Consider the following 14,762-nt stretch of genomic DNA (forward strand, 5'->3'; position numbering starts at 1 on the left):
AAGTCCTCTTATTTGTTACAAATATCTAAAGGCAAAGTGAGCTCTGAAAAAACCTCTTGAGGTTAGAGTGCCAAACATTCAAGACTGAGCCCTATGCTCCAAACAAACATTATTGTTAGTCTATGGTCTTAAAAAGCTTTTGCTCTATCATTAAAAAACGTCTGGTCTGTGTGTATAGAATCTGTGACATGAATACCATGGAATCAATATAACTGTGTAGTTTTCAAAACTTGAGAATTTCTGACATCTTCCTCCTACAGTCCCCAACGCGTAAGTTATTAGAAAGCTGTGTCATAAATGACCTTTGGGACTTGCTCTTACCTTCATTTCTGCTGAGTTCAATGTCAGCAAACAACCCAATCTTGATGACTTGCCACAGAAGTCCCAGGACCAGATAAGGCTTCCCCTCCTTCAGGTCCTCAGCCCCTATGTTGACCACATGGCACCCGATGGCTGAGGCAGAGTTCAGAGCCAAGTTCAGATTTTCCTGAGGGAGAAAATGTATGCAAGTTTTTGTTCTATGACTTTGTAGATGCCAAATAATACCGATGGCAACAGTAACAATGTTTTCCTTCTGCGAAGGTCACAGGTTTAGAGTCATGGTCTTCACTCATTTTAACATTGAGAAAAAAACAGTGACTCATAACCAGAAGAGAAAATCCAGTAACCCAGACACCGACCACTCATGCAGTGGTCCATTCAATCAAACCAGCACCATAAGTTGAAGGCCCATTCTGGTTGGCATGAGACTGATGAGGCCTATATTTTTCCATCTTGCTCTGTGATGAAGCTGACACACAAAACATCTCTATTGGCCAAAAATAAAGGGACACCTTTGAGAAAGTCATTGTCCTGTCACTGGCCATCATGAATAAGACAATTGTTGATGTAAATCAAGATCATAAAAGAGAGTAGCAGAAGAGCTTTTTGACTTGAAGATTGGGTGTTAAGAAAATGAAAAGGCTGGCACGGTGGCTCATGCCCATAATCCCGGCACTTTGAGAGGTCAAGGCGGGTGGATCACCTAAGGTCAGGAGTTTGAGACCAGCCTGACCAACATGGTGAAACCCCATCTCTACTAAAAATACAAAAATTAGCTGGGCATGGTGGCAGGTGCCTGTAATCCCAGCCACTCGGGAGGCTGAGGCAGGAGAATCTCTTGAACCCAGGAGGCAGAGGTTGCGGTGAGCTGAGATCATGCCATCACACTCCAGCCTGGGCGACAAGAGTGAAACTCCATCTCAAAAAAAAAAAAAAAGAAAACGAAAATGAAAAATAGATACGATTAAAATTCCTGGAAAAGATGGAATGGTTTTTGCTAGGTTGATTTGTTGAGTATCTGTAATAACTAGGGAACCTGAGTATACACACACATACTCATAGATTCTATGTTCTTATGAGTAACAACAATGCAGGTAATGTAACTCACATATAGTCGAGATAGAGTCAAGGGAGTTTTCAGTCCAGACTCTGTATGTACTATTCTTGAGTTTAAAAAGGAAGAGATATCAATGTCAGAGATGTATAGAAATTGTTTTAATTGGCAAATTAAAAACAAAGCAAAGGCCGCCAGTGAATTAGGAAAAGAACTATCAGAAGAAAAGTGGGTCCTTGTTCTAGTGCTTAAATGATGAGTGAAAAATACTGTTTCTATATATGGTCAAGATTATGAGTAAATTTAACATTAAGTGCATTCATATGTGTTTAATCATTGTTCTCAATTTGGTTACCATTTCCATTTTTAAAGTACACAAGGTTGCTTAAATCCACACAGGAGATAATGTATCGTTCATGATTTAAGAAGTTAGATATGGTTTCTTAGCAAAAGAATTATGATAATGTTAAAATATTGGAACACAACACAGAAATACACTTACTGCTGGTTACTATTCCAGTTAATCAACAAATTGATGGAATAAAAGCAAGTTATATTTATTATACTCGTGGCTGTGGCCAAAATTACTATGAAGGCTGCCAGAGTACTTCCCGTTTTTCACCCCCTCGCTTCTTAGAAAGGCTTATGTTTTCATCTAAAATGCTGTTTATTTGGCATCAAATCAAAGATAAATTGCTAAGGAAAGCTTGAGTTAAAACTTTAGCCAAAGTGAATTTTATTCCTAAGTGGCCAAAACAAACATACAAAGCCCCAGCTGCTACCACTCCACCAGTCTCCCTTCTTTGCTGCTCAGAAATGTATCCCTTTATCCCTGAAGTATGACAAGTCACCAGCCCAAAGCCTGGGTTTTGCGAATGATGTCTGAGCCCCTGAAAAAGGCGGACTCAGCAGTTATGATGCTCATTGATGCCAAACAAATCCTGTATTATGGTAACGGTGGGAAGACATACCTGAATGGTGAAAGGGGTTAGCTTCTTTTTGTTGATTGTTCTTTCATCAATTGTGTCTGGCACTGACAGGTTGATCATTTTACTGAAAGAGAAACAATTAAATTAAAGAAAGCAGTCTTCTGAATAACAGAGCCCAGTAACGTTGAATTTAAATTCTAGCAATACCATAATCAAAGAAGATAGCAACAGAATCTGTGATGTTTAGATATAAAATCAGTTATGCCGTTTGACTAGACTCAAACTATCTGCGGGAAAGGTGAATACTACTGAAGCCACATTCATATATTGAGGTTGGAAATGAGGACCCCACTTCATTCTCCCACCTAAACAGCTGCAAAATTATCCTGATTTTCTTAGCACATTAGGAAATTCTGGGTGGATAACCAAAGTAATTCTACCATAAGTACTTTATTTTCTTAGCCATGAAAATTGTCCCCATTATATAAAAGACTGTCTACAAAATTCTGAGCTTATTATTGTCTACATTTCTATTTGACACAGGACCAAACTTTGTATCTTCAGCTAATCATATGATAACATTTTTATATCCTTCTCAGTGCCCTAGGCTGAGTACCAATGAGTCACAGGGGTCTTAGAAGGTAAAACTAGCAGATTGGGGGAAGACCATGGGGTGCCTTGGGTGGCAACCTAAAAGCTAGAATTTTGATTTTTTTATAGCAATTGAACCTTTTAAAAATGAATTCTCAGGACAAACTAATAAATAAAATATCAAAAGTAGAATTGCTCTGGTCAGAGCAGAGGAGAAAGCTCAATGTCTTTCCCACCCATTGTTATCCTTTAAGTCCTGAGTCCCTCACATATTGAGCACCTCAAGTCACTTCACTTACAACTTGGCCTGTGATGACAGAGAACCTGCTGAAGCAAGAGCTACAGAGGTATTTTCAAAGACACCACGTTGCATTGAGCAGCACCATATTTAGAGGCCTCCCGTGGGTAGGATGCAGTCCCCCTTTTCCAGGTGTCCTCAATGTTTGAGTTGTGGATTTCTGTGCATCACTCAAAGGTTTCTTTGCTTAAGGACTACAGTTTAAGGACTTCTTCCATCATCCTGCTGCTATTATCAATTCTATCTGCTTTCATGGTGAGCCACGCTCAGATGAAGCCAAGCAGCATATATTCCAAAAATATATAACCAGGAAAATTGTCCTCATTATAGAAGAGACTATCTATGTACTTCTGAGCTTACATAATGTCTACATTTCCGCTTGATGCCTGATCCAACTTTATACTTTAAACTTGTCATCAGATAAACTTTTTAATGTCCTTCTATAGTCATTATTTAATCAGTATTTTATAAGTTTCCCCCACTTAATTATCTAATACATTGATTAGACATCTAATGCTTTTGACTTGGTATAACTATATCTTCCATGTTTATCTCTATAATGTTTATCCCTCCTCTCCACTCAAGCAATAGCAATTTTACATTTCTCATTATAAATTGTTTTTGAATTTAGTTTGCTGTCCTGGACCTGGCCAAGTGAAAGTCCAGAAAAGCCTTCTAGGTGCAGCTGAGCACCAAACAAAGTTGGCCTACGATAAATAACGATTAATTGTTGATGGTCTAGAAAATGGGCAATTCTTTGGAAACCAAGAAAGAAGTATTATTTACCAAAGGACAATGCCATCTCCAACAGCATTAAAGAGATCATTCGTGTTTGGGTTCATTGGGATGACATGCCGACAATCAGGATCATTTTCCAGGGCTTTGTTTATCCAGTTGACAAAGGCATACTTTTCTTCCTCTGCAAGTAAATGATTAAAGTGACTCATTTGCAAAGTGAAACTCTATTATAAACAAAATTATGCATGTGGATCTTAAATTCTCATTCCCAGCAGAGAGATGTGAGTTTATTCAGTCCATTATCTTATCATCTCATATTTATTAAGATTTAAAAATCTCAGATCACTTGGGAAATAGGCATTGAGTCTGTGTACTCCAAGTCATAAAACATAGAGCAAACAGATTTAAAAACTATCTCTCTGTTTCTTTTCTTTTCTTTTTTTTTTTTTTGAGATGGAGTCTCACAGTGTCACCCAGGCTGGAGTGCAGTGGCGCGATCTCGGCTCACTGCAAGCTCTGCCTCCTGGTTCACGCCATTCTCCTGCCTCAGCCTCCCCCGTAGCTGGGACTACAGGCGCCCGCCACAACACCCAGCTAATTTTTTGTATTTTTAGTAGAGACGGGGTTTCATCGTGTTAGCCAGGATGGTCTCGATTTCCTGACCTCGTGATCTGCCCACCTCAGCCTCCCAAAGTGCTGGGATTGCAGGTGTGAGCCACCGCGCCCGGCCAAAACTATCTCTCTGTTCCTATATATACGCATAATCCAGATATATATTTACATTTAGAAGCAAATATATACATATGTTTATTTTCTATATATAAATACATAAATAATAAAAATATTTTATTTATATGTGCATGTATACATATATATATACACATATAAATACAAATGTGGTATAATGCTTACAGGACAAAACTCAGGATTCCGCTTTTAGCTCTGCTGGTTTAAATGTTGGATCACTGTGGACAATCCTTATTGTACCTCTGAGTTTCTTGATACAATTATAATTAAATTGCTATAAAATAAAATCATTTGGATATAATCTTTTTTTCCTAACAGTAAAGCTGCCAGAAGGTGATTTTTAGATGTTTTAATAAAAACTCAAGTTATGTCTTCACAGCCTAGCACTATGTTTCCCAAACTGACAGTTTTTGAAAACAGTAGTGTCCCTCAGAGAAATCCTGAGTCATAAAAGTTTGGGAAATACTGTGTAGTGAATGTATCTCCGCCTTAAAGATTCACATTGCACATTTGACCCAGCAAAGGTTCTGAAAATTCCTGTATTTAAAAACAAAAGGCCAAACGTTGTCTTAGCAACTATAGATGGTATTTAATCATGACTTATCTTTTTTTTTTTTTTTTTTTTTTTTGAGACAGAGTCTTGTTCTGTCGCCAGGCTGGAGTGCAATGGTGCAATCTCGGCTCACTGCAACCTCTGCCTCCTGGGCTCAAGCGATTCTCCTGTCTCAGCTTCCCGAGTCGATGAGATTACAGGCATGCGCCACTGCACCCAGTAGAACGGGGTTTCACCATGTTGCCCAGGCTAGTCTTTAACTCCTGACCTCAGGTGATCCACCCGCCTTGGCCTCCCAAAGTGCTGGGATTACACGCGTGAGCCACTGTGCCCGGCCTCATGAGTTTATCTTTAAGATCAACTAACGTTTTGAATAATTCAGTTTTGGAAATGTTGCAACAACTATACTGTTTGGCCTGTTGGAAGTTTCCATTATGGCTGTTGGATGGCAGCCTTCGGAATAAATTTACAAATTTATTCCAAATCAATGAAAACATAATTTTTTGATCACTTAGCAGGTGTTAAAAATTATCATGAAGTTTAAAGATAGAAGCTTGAGTAGCTAATTTTGTCCATAAGATTTAGAAAGGAATCTGGGCAGCCTTTAATGATTGTTTAAATGCTGATCAAATCATTTTGTATTGGACCCTACCCAGAGCTAGGACTGCTCCTATATTATGTACCCAGAACTGACCCACTTAGTCACAGGAAAATTGGGAGTCATCCATAAAGCTGTGTTTGCTTCTGTCTTTGTTTACATCCCTTAGGTTTGAATACCAAGTTTAGAATCTGTAATCCTGAAATCCTGCTCCAACCCAGGAGTTGAGCCTACCTGAATAGGAGTGTTGGGTGCCAACGCTAGACTGCTCTGAAGTACCACCGATTGCACAAATCCCTTCCTTCTTATTGATTGCTTTTCTAAAGGTCTTGGCAACATCTGTGCTTTTTAGGCCATGGAAAATCTGCAAAAATATAATGTATCTTTAGAAACTCAAGCAGTGATCAAGAAAATCACAAAGGAAAGAATATGTAATGTCGAAGCAAGGAGGTAAGGAATGTCTTTCTGGATATTTTTTAAAACAGAATTCAAGTTCCAAGTTTCAAATGTGTCTCCTTGTATTCTGCATGGTACTCACCTTGATAAACTCATCAAAGCTGATCCTTCCATCTTGGTCCAGATCACCTGTAGCCATCAGGTTTTCTGTAATTTCTCGTACTCTATACCCAGGCAAAGGCAAGCAAGCAGCCTTGAACAAGTCATTCAACTCATTGAAGCTGATGTATCCATTGCCATCAGTATCTGTAATGTACACAATATACTGAAGCTTCAGGACGATTCAGGCAACAGCTTTTAGAGAGGTGAGGGAAGACTAGATGGAAGGTGAAGGGACGAGAGAGGCTATCATTCAGACATTAAGGCATGATCCCAGGGAAGAGTCAGAATCTCACAAGATGACTGTTGCTACTGAATAGGGGCACCAGCATTACTTTCAACATCCACAGTAAAAGAGTCATAATTTCTATAAGGTACCTCTGTTTCCACAAAGAACTCTTATAGAAACTCTTAAGGAAACCACAGGTTTAGTGATAAAGAGTAAGAGAAAGTATGTGATGGTATTAAAATCAAGGAAACAGCAAAACAGAAGACAAGATATAAAAGATGAGACTTACAAACCATTTCCAGGAACAAACTATGTAAGAGTAGAGTCCATATTCCATGTTTTGATAGAGAAAGTCATTTTATTGAAGCATATTTTTCAAAAATAAGTTCTCCCAGCTCCTCTAAACAAATACTACTGGTTTCTTGTCATCTCTGAAATTTTGCTCATGTTCCCATTTCATTGAATCTACCCTGAAGCTACTCAGTGAAGAAGAGAATGATGCAATTTGGGGTACCAGGTCTACTCACCAACTTTGGCAAAAGCTTCTCTGAGCTCCATCATTTCCTCATCGGACACTGATCCTCTGGCCATTTTTTATTGCTTTAGGTAACAGATCTGGAGAGAAGAAGAACATAAGGGATAACTTTTGTGCATTTGAATTCTTAAAATACCACATTAAGAAGCAATTCCCATTTATTACATGAAGAAATATTCTTCTGCATCCCCCATGATTTAGAACTATCTTTCCAAAATGTAAGTCAGAAATACGCTTTTTCTCAATCCTCCATGTGGTGGTCTCCAAAGATGGCTCTCAACAATTTCTTCCCTCTCGGTCTATACAGACTGCTCCTCACATCAAGAGGTAGAGCTTATTTCCCTCCCCTAGAATCTGGGCTGGTTTTTTAACTGCTTTGACCATTAGAGGGTGGTAGAAATGATGTCTGGGGCTGGAAACTTCTGCTTCCTTCTTTTTGGAATGCTCATTCTTAGGATGCTCCCTCTTGGTACCCAATTTCCATGACATGAGACATTTAAGCCACATAAATAAAGAAGCCAATGAAGGAGAACTGGGTGCACTGGTTAACAAACCTGCTGAGATCCCATCTGACAGCCAGCATCAATGCCAGCAACCTGAGAGGGCCATTTTGGGCTTTCTGGCCCATTTGAGCTCCTAGATGACCACATTCCCAGCCAACATCACATTAAGCAGAAGAATCGCCCAGCTGTGCTCAGTCAACCAAAAGAACAGAGAAGACAAAACGAGTGATGTCTTAAGTCACTACGTTTTAGAGTAGTTACCCAGCAATAAGCAACTAAAACACTTCACTTTTACATAAATGTCTTTTTTAAGAGGTATCTTCGTGTTCATATTTAAAATTAGTATTTGACCAAGCCAACAGATACAGTTTATAACTTCAAAGGAAGTTAATCAAAATTCTCCATATTATTTAGGGATGAACAAAGGGAAGCTGACCCTCTCATAATTCAGCTATGGGAATCTGAGGCGCTTTCTAGGTGTTTTCTTCTCAGAAAAGCGACAGTCTTGCTGAGAAACAGTGCTTGAGTAATTTCCCTTTTCCTGTGCATCACTGCTGCCCTCTAGTGGGTGAGAAGAAAATAAAACAGAAAATGGATGATAATCTCCATGCCCCTAGCTAATCCACACCAGCATGTTTCAAATCGGAGACCCACTGAAGTTTGTTGAACTTACTGGTGCAGAGGGGATAAGTGGAGTGGGAGTGTGGGGGTTGGGGTGTTTCTAAGCATAGTTATATTTTGGATAGTTCAGGGAAGTTATCGATTTAAAAAAAAATTTGTGACAGGATGTTGTTTTCAGTAGATTTCTTTTTTATATTTTCATATTATTCTATAGTGCTGTATTTGTTCTTGATGGCCACCAACAACCACACCAAACAGAAAACAGTCTTAATTAACATCAAAACCTGTAGGCCAAAAATGCATTACACTCAATTTTGCAAATCCATATCCATTATCCAACAAATTACCATCCTGCCACATACATATATCAGTGGTTTCAAACTTTTGTTCCACCAAGCAACCCTTTGTTGACAGAAACCTTACATGTAAACCTTACATGTAAGCAAACAAATAAAAATAACAACTCTGAGAGTCTTTGGTTGAAAAAACCCAAATGTACCCCTGCCCCTGCTATCTTATCTCCTTGTCACCTTCATCTGTGGGAACTCCAGGGAGCATGATTTGAAAATCATAGAATTATATATGTCTTCATTTAAATTTAAATGTATTCATTAAAAATATATTTTTGATATCAATAAAAATTTTATTTTATTATTGTCTTACATATCTAAGAAAGTATTGGTACATTGGATCTTTTAAAGGATGACAGAAACTGTCGAGGGGTTAATTGTATTAAAAATACAATCTCACTAACACATCACAATAACCCTAAGAGACAGGCACTGGCTATCTGGCTTTCTTGTCATCTCTCTCTCTCCCTCCCTCTCGTCCTTTTTTCTTTCCTTCTTCCTTCCTTGTTTCCTACCTTCCTTCCTTCCTCTCTTTCTTTTTCAGAATGCCTTTTTCCAAAAATAATTTGAGCTAAGTTACAAAGATATATCCAAACCCAAGAGTTAAACCAACTAAATGATGTAATTGATAAGAAAGAAAGCGTAACTGAAATAAGATGATGGTCGGGAGGAACTCTAATACTTAAAATACATGCCTAAGACCCCGCATGTTTTGCTACAAGTAGGCTGAAAATCTATCTCCAAGTTCTCTAGAAGCTAAGGCAAAAAGGAAAGTATCATCGGTTATACAATTCACTATCTATGAGACAAACCAATTTTCTTAGGGCAGCAGATCTGATGTCTGACAGCAAAATCTTCACACAGGCTTTAAGAAGAGGCCATTTGTGGGATGGGGTAAACACAGGTTTTGTGTTTCTTACAATGTCCTTCAATATAGGCTGATGGCATAGGTATGTATATTCTCATTGTATAGATCAGAAAACAGTATCTCAGAGAAGTTAAGATACAGATCTCAAATCACTCAGCTGGGTGGAGAAGCAGCCAAAACTCCAATCCCCAAGTCTTTTCTCCTCTCCCAGGCTGTCTACTCGGGTTCTCTGCCTTCATGTTCCTGTTAGACACACATCCCATCCATCCATTTATTCACTAAACAATGAGTTCTCCCTCTCCCTCCCCCTCCCCCTCCCTCCCCCTCCCCCTCCCTCTCCCGTCTCCCTCAACCCACGGTCTCCCTCTCCCTCTCTTTCCACGTTCTCCCTCTGATGCCGAGCAGAAGCTGGACTGTACTGCTGCCGTATGGGCTCACTGCAACCTCCCTGCCTGATTCTCCTGCCTCAGCCTGCCAAGTGCCTGCGATTGCAGGCGCGCGCCTCCAGGCCTGACTCGTTTTCGTATTTTTTTGGTGGAGACGGGGTTTCGCTGTGTTGGCCGGGCTGGTCTCCAGCTCCTAACCGTGAGTGATCTGCCAGCCTCGGCCTCCGGAGGTGCTGGGATTGCAGGCGGAGTCTCGTTCACTCAGTGCTCAATGTTGCCCAGGCTGGAGTGCAGTGGCGTGATCTCGGCTAGCTACAACCTCCACCTCCCAGCCGCCTGCCTTGGCCTCCCAAAGTGCCGAGATTGCAGCCTCTGCCCAGCCGCCACCCCTTCCGGGAAGTGAGGAGCGTCTCTGCCTGGCCGCCCATCGTCTGAGATGTGGGGAGCGCCTCTGCCCCGCCGCCCCGTCTGGGATGTGAGGAGCGCCTCTGCCCGGCCGCGACCCCGTCTGGGAGGTGAGGAGCGTCTCTGCACGGCTGCCCCGTCTGAGAAGTGAGGAGCCCCTCCGCCCGGCAGCCGCCCTGTCTGAAAAGTGAGGCGCCCCTCCGCCTGGCAGCCACCCCGTCTGGGAAGTGAGGAGCGTCTCCAGCCGGCAGCCGCCCCGTCGGGGAGGGAGGTGGGGGGCAGCCCCCGCCCGGCCAGCCGCCCCGTCCGGGAGGGAGGTGGGGGGCGCCTCTGCCCTGCCGCCCCTTCTGAGAAGTGAGGAGCCCCTCTGCCCGGCCGCCACCCCGTCTGGGAGGTGTACCCAACAGCTCATTGAGAACGGGCCAGGATGACAATGGCGGTTTTGTGGAACAGAAAAGGGGGAAATGTGGGGAAAAGATAGAGAAATCAGATTGTTGCTGTGTCTGTGTAGAAAGAAGTAGACATAGGAGGCTCCATTTTGTTCTGTATTAAGAAAAATTCTTCTGCCTTGGGATGCTGTTAATCTATAACCTTACCCCCAACCCCGTGCTCTCTGAAACATGTGCTGTGTCCACTCAGGGTTAAATGGATTAAGGGCGGTGCCAGATGTGCTTTGTTAAACAGATGCTTGAAGGCAGCATGCTCGTTAAGAGTCATCACCACTCCCTAATCTCAAGTACCCAGGGACACAAACACTGCGGAAGGCCGCAGGGTCCTCTGCCTAGGAAAACCAGACACCTTTGTTCACTTGTTTATCTGCTGACCTTCCCTCCACTATTGTCCTGTGACCCTGCCAAATCCCCCTCTGCGAGAAACACCCAAGAATGATCAATTAAAAAAAAAAAAAAAAAAACAATGAGTTATTAAGTATATGGACTATGGATAGCCCCATGGGAGATTTTTAAAACTACAATATAGTGAGCTTGTCCAGTCATTCTAGTAGAAAGCTTTTGCTTTCCTGTGCTCAGAAATCAAGGCTTCTGTTTTAAGGAATTAGTATAGAACTTTGTATTAATATACTTTGCTAAATCCTTGTGACTAACTTGGCTTAGGTCTCTTCTATACCCTCTACCATATCCACATATGCATGAATAGAAGGCTCTCCAGCTCTCCGGCTGTCCAGCCCTTCATGTTTTTAAATGTCTTAAGACCTCTTGGTTCATAGGTGTTTATGGGATTATAAGATACATTCATTCATTTAACAAATATTTTATGAATGCCTACTATAAGCCAGGTGCTATTCTTCATTTTAGGTAAGCACGTCTATATTGACCCAGTTAGTTATCCTGAAAGCATGGAACAATGTCAAAGGTAAGGAGGACAAACAAGATCTCTGACTCTAAACCTGGCCTTATCCCTTGACACAAGAATGTTAGATTTTAGAGCGCTATCAGCAGCTAGCGATAAATATAAGTAGAAGCAGAGAACAAGACTACATTCTAAGTGTCACAAGTAGGGCCAATGAAGAAACAAAACAATTACAGTGTTGGGTAAAAAAAGAAAATCTAAAAAATATCTAAAGATCATGGTATAATGGGAAATTTTTTTTACCATAAAAATTGCAGTGGCCCATTCATTTAAAAGACATAGAAAGTACATGTATTTTAAAATCATATTATTTTTAAACCACAGCAGGTAGGTCAAGATGAAAAGCCTTGAGCATCTGTAACAATATTTTTCTACGAGATTTATGAGTGGAGAGGATAAACTCAGAGAAGTCAAACAGCAAGAACACCTTTAAATTTAAAAAATCCAAAATGCTTCAGTGATTTAACAGCAAATGCAAAAGAGAAGTGGATTAACTTAGTTTAAAAGGTAAAGTGGAGAAGGGATAATCAGCAACTGACATTGCTGTGATACTGTTTGTTGTTGTTGGGCAGAAACATGAATAGATATCTGGAGAGAGTCCCTTTTACCATCAGCATGAGCAGCATATCCTGGAAACACAACCTAACTTTTGGAGACAGAAGGAACCTCATAAATAATTTATTACAATGTCCTCATTTTATAAATAAGGAAACTGAAGTTCTAATGAGAAGAAATGTTTTATCCATGTACAAATTCTCAAGGCAATGCCAGGCTGGAGCTTGTAAATGCAGGTGCTGATGAGCAGAGCAGGAAAAGGATGGAGTTACCATTAAAAGGGCCCCTAAGGTCCATAACTGAGCAGAGACCTTTAAGTAATTAAACTGAATGTGCAAAGGGCAGTAATTTCACAAAGCAAAGCAGCAGGAAGAGGACATAATTAGTGTAAAAACAGGCAGACCAGATCATTTTTAAGAAAGACATTGAGCCAGGTGCAGTGGCTCATGCCTGTGATCCCAACATGTTGGGAGGCCGAGGTGCACGGATTGCTTTGAGCTTAGGTGTTCGAGACCAGCCTGGGCAACATGGTGAAACCCCATCTCTACCAAAAATACAAAAATTATCTAGGTGTGGTGGTGCATGCCTGTGATCCCAGCTACTCGGGAGGCTGAGGTGGGAGGATCACTTGAACCCAGGAAGCGGAGGTTGCAGTGAACTGAGATCATGCCACTGCACTCCAACCTGGGTGACAGAGCGAGACCCCATTTCAAAAACAAAAAAAAAACAAAAATGCACCCATTTTAATTCACGCATATTTGAAAATATGGGTTATGATAATATTATAAGATTAATAAGTAATATAAGTAAGATTAGTTGGTGATGGCTTTAGTTTGCAAATTACTGGCACCATATAGGCAGCAAACTATACAGATACTGCTGCAGTAATGGGCATGCTGAGGCATCTGGAGCTTAAAAGGAGGGGCTAAAGAAAGCATGTATCTTCCAAGGTATAAGTGAGTGGTTTCTTCAGCTCTGCCCGACTGCTCCTGCATTGAGTGTGGCCCTTTTTAATGACTACATCATCTAAATATGCCCTGCCACAAACCATTTTCAGGTCTTCTGCAAATCCGTGGTCAATCTGGGAAATCCCCTTCTGAATTACTGCCCAAATCAAAAATCTATTATAAAAAGACAACTCATTCATCAAGGTCACGTCTGGGCTGCTAGTTTTTTGTGTGAGTGCATGTGAGAGCACTTAAATTTATTAAATCAATAGTTGTAGAATCTCAAGACGTTGGCCAAAAAAAAAGCATTGGTTGTTCATTTTAAAAAATTATATTATTTTTAAAACCTTAAGAAAAAAAAAGCCCCACCTCAAACTGCAAAAGCCACAAAGCCTGTTCATTTCTTAAATCAGTGAGTTTTGAGTTTCTGCTTAAAGGGTGCTGGTATTTCCCAAGTCAGTAGCGAAGGGAATTTCTGAGGATGAGTTATCATAAAAGTACCTGAACTTAAGTTCTCTAAAGTCTGAATATAGAAACAATTTGTGGGAGTTTACTCTTGAACACAGTGCTGCAGAATTTACAGAAGAAAAAACATCCTCTAAAGTAAATGTAAAAATGTAAATGGAATTTTCTCTGGGGAGTTTCATAACTGATAATTAAAAGCAGAAAGGCTAGAAAAGGTGACCTGTCTAGAGAGAGATGCTCAAGGGGTGGAATCATTTCTGAAAGATGGTAGTGCTGGGCTAGTCAGTATTTTGATTCAATATACTGATGCTGAATCATATAACCTGCCAGGATCAGGGAGGCATCTGTGACCTGGTATCACCTTGCCAAGGGACTCTTTTGAATGTGCCCCACTTTTCCTGCAACTTGATTCAGTAGTTAAAGTCAAACCGGACACTCAGGACTCAAGTTCCTAGCTCTGCCTCAATAAATTTCAGTACATTTCCAGAGGGGAAATTATACAACTTCCAAACATCTCAAGAACAATCAGTAATCCAAAAGAACACATCATCTAGAATAACATTAATATTGTAAGCTTTAGCATTAGACTATGACAACTAAAGAAACGAAAAATAAAATATGTAGGACTATGAAGCAAAATAAAATACCCATACATTTTTAAAAAGCCATCAAGATTAATCTATTTAAGGAAAAAACATTGCTTTTACTTAATCCTGTCCCCTTCATTTTATAAAGTAGACCACTGTAGGAGATCTTACTTTGCGAATATATGGAATTTACTATATATTCTTGGGATATCATATCTCTATGGATACAGATATGACTAACTTTTACATAAAGGATGATTCAGAAAATATAATTTTAAAATGACTTTGTTTTTAAGAAACCAAATAATTATAAATGGCCTTAAAAACAGATGGCCAGTTAAAGGGACTCTGATGAATCTTTTTGTCAAGTCAGAATCTCCTCCAGATTGTCCTTTTTCTCCCTGCAGATACATGGATTCTCTCAAAGCCTACAGAATTCTTCTCTCTGCAGGCTCTGATGTAAATGCCACAGGGTGGAAGGTAGGGGGAAGGCTATTCAGGAGGAGAGACTCAACGGCTCTCCTCTGACACTATTATCTCAGGCCACATAAACACTTAT

General features: G+C 40.4%; 1 protein-coding gene across 5 annotated transcripts in view; it reads right to left on the minus strand.

Annotated features, from left to right (window-relative positions):
- LCP1 (lymphocyte cytosolic protein 1) overlaps window positions 1–14,762 on the minus strand; it is a 56,255-nt gene that overhangs the window by 26,536 nt on the left and 14,957 nt on the right. For 3 of the 5 annotated variants that reach the window (NM_002298.5, XM_005266374.3, XM_047430305.1), the window contains exons 2-7: window positions 7,141–7,228; window positions 6,368–6,531; window positions 6,064–6,193; window positions 3,980–4,112; window positions 2,347–2,428; window positions 322–487 (exon numbers count right to left, since the gene is read on the minus strand). In NM_002298.5, the coding sequence (NP_002289.2) occupies window positions 322–487; window positions 2,347–2,428; window positions 3,980–4,112; window positions 6,064–6,193; window positions 6,368–6,531; window positions 7,141–7,204 (739 nt within the window). In that variant the 5' untranslated portion in view covers window positions 7,205–7,228. Of the gene's footprint in view, window positions 1–321; window positions 488–2,346; window positions 2,429–3,979; window positions 4,113–6,063; window positions 6,194–6,367; window positions 6,532–7,140; window positions 7,235–8,087; window positions 8,210–14,762 lie in introns of those variants that run through there. The other 2 variants (XM_047430303.1, XM_047430304.1) reach the window with 2 other exon arrangements.

The sequence above is a fragment of the Homo sapiens genome, chromosome 13 (genome assembly GCF_000001405.40).
Source record: "Homo sapiens chromosome 13, GRCh38.p14 Primary Assembly".
Classification (NCBI taxonomy): Eukaryota; Metazoa; Chordata; class Mammalia; order Primates; family Hominidae; genus Homo; species Homo sapiens.